The sequence below is a fragment of the Homo sapiens genome, chromosome X (genome assembly GCF_000001405.40).
Source record: "Homo sapiens chromosome X, GRCh38.p14 Primary Assembly".
NCBI lineage: Eukaryota > Metazoa > Chordata > Mammalia > Primates > Hominidae > Homo > Homo sapiens.
This window is the reverse complement of record NC_000023.11, coordinates 140,085,630-140,093,836: the sequence shown is the minus strand read 5'-3', so window position 1 is coordinate 140,093,836 and position 8,207 is coordinate 140,085,630. Positions and strand designations below refer to the sequence as shown.

At 42.8% G+C, this 8,207-nt stretch overlaps 1 protein-coding gene and 1 pseudogene across 1 annotated transcript, besides 3 other annotated features; both read right to left on the bottom strand.

Moving 5' to 3' along the window:
* Nucleotides 926-2,159, bottom strand: HAPSTR2 (HUWE1 associated protein modifying stress responses 2). Its single transcript, NM_001271560.3, has one exon. It carries the CDS (start codon nt 2,092-2,094, stop codon nt 1,273-1,275), a length of 822 nt encoding a protein of 273 aa, NP_001258489.1. The 5' UTR covers nt 2,095-2,159; the 3' UTR covers nt 926-1,272.
* Nucleotides 1,002-1,973: an enhancer, noted in NCBI's record as "H3K27ac-H3K4me1 hESC enhancer chrX:139174023-139174994 (GRCh37/hg19 assembly coordinates)". NCBI's record gives its function as "activates a minimal SCP1, AML or CMV promoter by ChIP-STARR-seq in naive H9 embryonic stem cells {active_cell/tissue: H9 hESC(naive)}" and the evidence as "EXISTENCE:reporter gene assay evidence [ECO:0000049][PMID:30033119]".
* Nucleotides 2,210-2,279: a silencer, noted in NCBI's record as "silent region_21038". NCBI's record gives its function as "represses an Ori minimal core promoter by ATAC-STARR-seq in GM12878 lymphoblastoid cells {active_cell/tissue: GM12878}" and the evidence as "EXISTENCE:reporter gene assay evidence [ECO:0000049][PMID:35858748]".
* Nucleotides 4,451-6,617: an enhancer, noted in NCBI's record as "VISTA enhancer hs427". NCBI's record gives its function as "enhancer in: hindbrain (rhombencephalon)[4/5] | forebrain[5/5]" and the evidence as "EXISTENCE:transgenic organism evidence [ECO:0001131][PMID:17130149]".
* On the bottom strand, nt 7,687-7,982 carry RN7SL727P (RNA, 7SL, cytoplasmic 727, pseudogene; annotated as a pseudogene).

Below are 8,207 nucleotides of genomic sequence, written 5' to 3'. Positions count from 1 at the left end.
TGCAGCTAATTTATAGAGCTAGGATTCTGCTGTTGGTCCTTTTAAAACGAAGTTCACACTCTTTTGGTTATACCATGCTGTACCCTTAATTAAAACCCAGAAGTTCAAAAGGCTGGGCACGGTGGCTCACGCCTGTAATCCCAGCACTTTGGGAGGCCAAGGTGGGCGGATCACAAGGTCAGGAGTTCGAGACCAGCCTGGCCAACATAGTGAAACCCCGTCTCTACTAAAAACACAAAAAATTAGCCGGGCGTGGTGGCAGGCACCTGCAATCCCAGCTTCTCGGGAGGCTGAGGCAGGAGAATCCCTTGAACCCGGGAGGCGGAGGTTGCAGTGAGCCGAGATCACGCCATTGCACTCCAGCCCGGGCAACAGTGCGAGGCTCTGTCTTAAAAAAAAAAAAAAAAGAAAAAAAAAAAAAAACCCAGAAGTTCATTCTGACTACTTGGTCTTCCACTTCAAAACAGAGATCATAAAAAAGATGTAACCTCAGAAAAAGGAATTTTTACATTCCTAAAAAAAAAGAGCACCACTGGGCCACCATCTCATCAGGGTCTCAGTTGATGGTTTAGTTTTCCCCAAAAAAGCACTGAATTGACTCAATATTAAGTAATACCTGCGTAACCACCACAGCACCTCTTTGCAGCATCACATAATCACCAAAATCAACAATTTTTCAAAATTAAAAAAATCACAGCCTAATATGTATTACTTGCAGTTTCTTTCTAGAAATTAGGTGCATGGTATAGTGAGGTAAAAATGGAAGACTCCAGATTTCACAAAGATGTCAAGTTTTACATTTTGATACAATGCAATTGAATTGGCAAAGACCATTAAAGCCAACAATTATCAAAGAAAAAAGTATTCTATAACCAAGTAAACACCTGCTATGACTTCCCTTTAAGAATAAATAAGGTCACATTTATTCATTCAATGAACATTTATTGAGCACCTGGAACTGTGCTAGGTGCTGAGGAATATAACTGTGAACAAGATAAATCAGACTCCTGCCTTGACCAGATACGTTTGCTTTAAATGATCCTGCTAACTACTACATATTTGTTCTCTGCTAGGATTATATTTTTTGGAAAGTCAGAGTCATATGAAGCCTCTTCTGGAATACTTTTAAAGTTTCTTTATGGCAAAATTGTTAGAAATCTTTGTTTAACTTAGAGAAGGGAAGAAAAATGGTCTCCAGTAACCTTTAGACAAGCATGTCGACGGTTGAGTTCACTCTCAAGCAATATGGCGGCAGGCAACCAATGAGGCAGTTTAGACCATTCGGTTGCGCTTTTGGATTGGGGAGTCTGTGATGCCATCACTGCATTGGGCCGAGGTGCGCTTGCGGATCCCCCCACTGTCCAGGTGGAGGGCCAGTTCCTCTGAGTCGAAGGGATTCAAGTCGTCCTCCAAGAAGCTAGTTTTTCGGCGCCCACTGCTGGCGACACCGCTGTCTTGAGGCGAGTCGCCCGATCGCATGCTGATGCCGGCCATAGCACCACTGAGGCCATGCAGGGCGATCGCCTCCTGGAAGGGCTGCAGGTCGACGTCCACCGATGAGCTGGACTCAGTTGCCACAGCCTGGCTGGTGACCCCAGTGGGTGGCTTCGGGGGTGTCCTAGGAGTGCGAGGTGGAGGAGGAGCGGGGGGCACTTTGCCACACAGGAAGCTAATCAAGTCTTCGCGACGAATGGTGCTCCGGCCCTTTTTCACCCACTCCAGCACATCTTTGATGCGACGCTGGTGGCCAACCTGGACACCCAAGTCAAAACTTCGTTGGTGGGCATCCCCGCTCTCTTTGTAGAGGCTGGTCACGGCCATGGCCGCATTCTGGAAGGGGTCCCACATGGAAAGTCCTTGCTGTTGGCACCCAGAATCCTTGTAAAGCTGAGCAACGGCGGTGGCCGAGATCTGGAAGAGGTGCCACAGCTTCTGCTTCTCGCTCTTGAGCCCTGCCAACTCTGCAGCCGCCTCCTCCTGCAGCTCGGGGGGCAGCTGCTCCTCCTGCTCGGCCTCAGCCAGGCACTGGCGCTCCCACTTGGAAAACCAGTGCTCCGCGACCTCGGCCTCGCCCTCCTTCTGCTGCTCCTCCATCCTCCTCTTCAGGCCGCGCACCTCCACCACCGCCTCCTCCTCCGCCGCCGCCGCTGCTGCCTACTCTTGGTCCTCCACCTCCTCACCTCCTGCTCCGAGCTCCCCGCCTCCTTCTGCGGCCGCCGCCTCCTTCGCGTGCGCCGCCCTGCGGGCGGGCGGGCGCGCGGGCGGCGGGGCCCTGAGGCCAACTGCTACAGCGCTAGTCGCCCGCGGCCCTGGTGCACGCCCCGCCCCGCCCGCCGGCTCAGCCACCCGCAACGGCGTGGATGCTGCCTTCGCGGCCGCGGAGATAACCCCGCAGCCGCCGGCGCCGCCGCGATGCCCCCTTCCGGCCCCACGGTCCGCTCCTACGGCCCCCCCATGGCGCCGCGGCCTCCCAGCCGCCGCCGCCGCCGCCGCCTCGGTCGCCGCCGCCGCTGCGGCCCCGCAGCTCGGTCCCAGCCCCCGCTTGCGCCGCGGCTGCAGCACCGATAACTCGGAGCGGGGCTGGCAGGAGCGCTGCCTCAACGCGGCGCCTGCCTACCTCTTAGCCCCCTTTTCACACATTTTTGGGACTTGTCGGCTTCATCCAATGAGCTGATCAAATTTTACATCCTATGTTGCCAGAGAGGATTATGGGGCAACTTCATGGTGTCGATCACATCCAGGGCGCCGATCCGGGGAGGCCGGGGGAATAAAAGTGGAAAGAGCGCGGCCCTCGTGGGTAGGCAGGCAGTCTGGACCCTAGCAATGTCCTCCCCACACTAGGTGCCCGAGAAAAGTGTTTTCCGTGGACGAAAGTAGTATTTTGTAGAAGAAAAAAAATCACAGGGAAAGTGCCTGCCTCGTCTTCTTGGGCCTCAGTTTCCCCAAGTGCCCGTTGAAGTTGTTAAACTAGGTCTCCGGAAAGTGCTCCAGTCCTGATTGAGAACTTTCCTGCTGTCCCTGCAAAGCACTACTTCGGGGTTAGTTTCATACTTATCAAATTACAAGAGTAACGGTCAGAAATGGTATTGATCCCCCCTTCATTCTTGCAAAGGTTTTTGTCATTAAGAAAAATGGGGTGGAGAGTGGATTCTGTGTGGACTACTCTCAACTATTGAAAATCCCAAGATGAAGGAGCAAGGGGAAAGAAAAAAGGAAATAAAAATGAATGCTCAAACACGAGATTTTCTGTTCTAATATAAAGTTCAGTCCCTTTTAGGAAAAAAAAGGAAAAAAAAAAACTAATTTCCAAAACCCTAAAAATTCTAGCTAGTTAAAACATCATAATAATACCAAAATTAAGCTAAAACGGTATGGAACACTAACGTCATTTCCTTGGGTTCAATAACAAATCCCTTGTAATAATGCAATGTTTTTTCAGTGCAGACAATTCCAGAGCAAACTGTGTTAAAAACAAACAAACAAAAAAAAAATCACTGAGCTAAAAATAACATCAAAAGTTGGAGGAACTAACGTAATCATTTTTAAGATTTAGAGAAAAAAGTTAGAATTTTGCAGTTTTTGTTGTGGAATAATTGCTAAGTATCCAGAAAGCCTTACAGACATAAATAAAGCTAACTCTTCTAGCAAAATATGTCTAATAATTCCCAAGAATGAAAATTAGTACATAAAATAAAATTATCATTAAGTTTTATCATCTCCCTTAAAAGAAATACATGTTTCTAAGTTAAATTTAGAAGAGAAGAAGAGTGAATTGTGCCCTTTCTCTGCAAACCGGGCTTTTTCACGATTCATTAAACCCTTTTTCCATATGTGTAATTGGACTCTTCTCATTTACATAAACGAAGGATGAGGCAAAAGACCTAAGATCAGCCTAAGAGGAGAGATACGTTTCTCATTCTTTTATGTTAAAAAATATATATTGTGGAAGAAACCAAGAAGGCAGACCCTACTTCATCCCCCACCCCTCACCAGACCTGAAATATTAATACTTCATGGCCAAGGAGTAAGCAGGTTTGCAGAGCTTTGAGGGTTGCCCTACATCTGGTGCATCACAGTCATTATCACAGGCACATGTTTTTGTTTTATTTTCTCTAAGTAAAAAGCTTAGACCAAAGTGACTGACAGTAGGACAGCATATCCTACTTTCTCCTCTCATTTTTGACTGGGTTAAAAACCAAGAAGAAAGACTGCTCTGTCTTTTAAAGAGCACAACACTCTGCTTGGGCTTGAGTTGTCTGGCTGGTATCCTCCATTCAGTTGGTTTCAGCACCTGATTAATTAGTTAATTAGTACTTAGAGCTGACCAGCCCTGGTCGGCAATTTTCATGCCCTGCATGGTGAAATGTTGAATCCCACATTGAAATTTCTGTGTCGCACACCCTAATTATTATCACCCCACTACTTTTTAAACCATTGCGCCAAATTATTATTATAGACAGAGCCGGACAACTGTGTGAGAATATGTTCTTTCTGAGAAATAATGGTAGACAATATTTTTCACTGTTGTCCTTAACACATTTAAATAAAACAATTGAGTAGGGGAAATTCTAATTCAATTAGCCTCCAACTCCTTCTACTGAGAAAATGATTTTATATGAGAGATGTTAGAAAAAAATCACACCAGAAATTTTAGTAATGTTTTATCAGTTCTCAGGATGCCAGAGAGTGTGTTTATAAGATATCCTATCTGACATTAGTTTTCTTCCTATATAATTCTAAAATGTCCGGATTATTTTTAAAATAATAGGAAACAGATACTAAACAAAAAGACCATTTTCTTACTTGCTCTAAGGAAATGATGCTATCTGTGTATGTGTGTGAGGGAGAACTTTTGATGTTTAAAAAAAAAACTGACATGGTTTAGGAGTAAGTTTTCTGCGGGAAAAAAAATATTTCTTTGCCACTGCCTCATTCTTCCATAAGTTTGGTGTCTTGGCTAAGGTTAAATATCAAGTAGGGAAAAATAGTGTTAGAAAATAAGTTAGGACACAAATCTATAGCAATCTCATTTTTAGCGTTTCTCAGTATACCATTACGAAAATGGGCTCCAGTATCAATGATTTCCAGTATTATTGCTAGCTATTTTCACCTGGAAACAATCCTTATATATCAGTAGTGGGTTGCTTGTAATTGTAAGAGCTAAATGGTACACAAAACTGGATACACAACCACACAGACCAGTAAATGGGTCAGACTGAAAGCAAAAGTAAACACCAACCTTAGGAAATGAAAGAAGTTAAAAGATAAGTGTTAAGGACCTTATTCTTTTTGGAGAATAAAACAAGATTTAGTAGCTTTCCACTTAATTTAAATGAAAAGAATCACTACCTTACATATTGCAGTGATAATGTAATGGGGAAAGAAAACAAAAAAGTCTTTGTACAAATGACACCTCCTATAGTTGTTGTGAAGAAACTTTTCCCCTTGGTATCTGCTAACAAATTCTAATTAATGCTGCACATTCCTTTACTGAAATCATTTAATGCGTAACAAGGGGGGTAAAAAGAAATGCTGAATGCTCGTGATTGCCCTGTTAGAATTATGGGAGTGAAAGCCTGGGGCCCCAAACTTACTGTCTATTAAAGCCAAGCTTTGAAAAAGAAATGCAACCTACAAAAGCTGTCAATCTCCCTTGCCCCTAAAGCCTGGGTTCACATGGATTCAAGTGACAGCCCTCCTCCCCCATGCACAATACATCAATCTGTCTCTCCCACAAGCACCCACAGCCCATTGTGCTGGCCGCAGGTGCCTATTATGGCACCCATGGCTGCCTCCCACAGCTCCGCCCCTGAGAAACAGGAACTGCACACAATGGAGCCCTGTGGGAAGACAGAGGTGGGTGTTGGGAGGGATAACAGACAGATGGTAAAGGGTACGGGGTAGTAAGGTAGTTTCAAAACAAATGTCAAACATTCAAAATTATTGCTTTCACGTGCCCCCCTTTTTGAATTGCCTTTGCTTCAATCACCATCTGCCATAATTATGAAAACACATACCTGTTAGGATGAATATATGCTCTTCTTTTTGGGTGGTGGTCGAGAGGATGACCTTCAATACTCTACTCCTCCTATTTAGCCTCTAGGTTTCTCAAGGTCGCAGACTGAGGAGTTTTAGTTAAGTGACACCAGTAGAGCATATAGGGGAAGGAAGAAATAGTTCTAATTTTTTTTTTTTACACGGCTTGTGATTTCCTCTTAAGCTTAGTTTGGGGATTCGTAAGAGGGTAAAGGTGATGGAAACTAGTTGCTTTGGGTAATATGTTAGTGAAATCAAAGTGTTATGAGATGTCTTAAAATATCAAACTAAGCAGGTGGAAATTCTTAGGCCATTTCTTTTCTGGTAGGGAGATACAAAAAGGGAGATGAGGTAGATTTAATAATAAAAGTACTGAAGGTCTCTGACTCAGCCTCTTTTCCTATTCCTAAACATGCCAAAATAAATGAGGAAAATTGTAAAAAAAAAATTACTAAATACTATTGACATTGAATACCATTATCAGAAGTAGTACATTTTTAACATTTCATCTTATTAAATGTCCTATGATGTTTTCATCTTTGGAGTTCTAGACTAATTAAGAAGCAATGAGTGGAAGAATTAAAATATATGCCAAAAACACATATTAGTTCAAATAATTTGATTTAGTTGATTTTGTCCTTATATAGTCATCTCTGTATACCACCTATTCCTGTTTCCAAGATAATCTGTCATAAATCAAAACCAAATTAACAATAATTTCATCACTACTCTTACTACCTGACTCAAACAGAAAGCAACCAAGAAAAATCTGGCACAACTGTAAGTCATGGTCAAGACAATTAGTGACTTGTTGGGATAAGGGTACCCCCCAGAATAATGCCAGAAACTAAAACCAGCCAGCTTTCTTGAAGCAAACAACAGGGTCTTGGTTTGTTGTCAAAAACCACAAACTAGGCTTTAACTAGGAACTGTCAGAGATCCAAGTGAGCTCTTGGCCAGGGAGAGCTTAATTAGCAGAGTTGGTTTGGTTTTTAAATTACACAAGAAAAACAACCAATACAGTATGAAAGCATACAGTGATCTAATGTAACACAAAATTCACTATTCCATTATATGTGTGTGTAGTAGTTTTGCACATTTTATTAACAATTTAGATTTAGATTTCAAACGTTATTTTTGTGCCCATTACTAGGGCATGGGTTTTTGTTTTGTTTTGTTTTCTTCTTGTGTATCTTTTCAGAGATTCTTATGTCTTCATCACCAAATGCAAATATGCATCCCTCTTCTTTTTAATATAAATGGTAGCATATGCCATTTCTTTTTAACCTGATGGATTCTGGGGATCAGTCCGTATCAGAACAGTAAGAGCATACGTTATTTGTAAATATTAAGACTCTAGTTCAACAAGAGTTTACTTATAAATTGTTTCTATGACATCCAAAATATTCAGAGTTCAAAAGAAATCCCCAGGGCTTTCCATTTAATCCATGGCCCGTTTTTCATATCTCTGGTATCTTACAAAAATGACATTGCTTAATTAACTAATTAAAAGATGTCAGGTTTTAGCTGTAAAATTTGTTGACAATACATACTCTCCTTTTACCTGTGCTCCAATACTAAGCTCTTTGACTTCTAGATGTTTTCCATGGAGCTACTGAGTTTTTATTTTATCTTATAATTTTAATTATTAGAGACGGGGTCTAACTATGTTGCCCAGGCTGGAGTTCAGCGGCTATTCACACACATACCATCCCACTACTGATAAGCACAGGAGTTTTGACCTGCTCCATTCCTGGGCTAGATCACCCCTCCTTGGGCAACCTGGTAGTCCCTTGCTCTCAGGAGGTCACCATATTGATGCTGAACCTAGTGCAGGCACCCTATCGTCATAGGGCACTACAACCCAGAACTCCTCTGCTCAAGCCATCCTTTTGCCTCAGCCTCCTGAGTAGCTGAGATTACAGGCAAGCGTCACCACACCCACCTACTTTAAAATTAACATAGTTTGTTGGTTAAAATTGAAGATTATATTGTCAGACAAAACTGAGTTCTAATTCTGGCTCTGGAGCTTGAAAGTGGTGTGATTTAATTTCTCTGATATTCAGTTTTCTCTAAAATGATGATAATAATAGTCCTTACTTCATAGGTTTGTAGTAAAGAGTAAATGAGACCATGCACTCACACCTAAAATAAAGCCTGTTACATAGTAA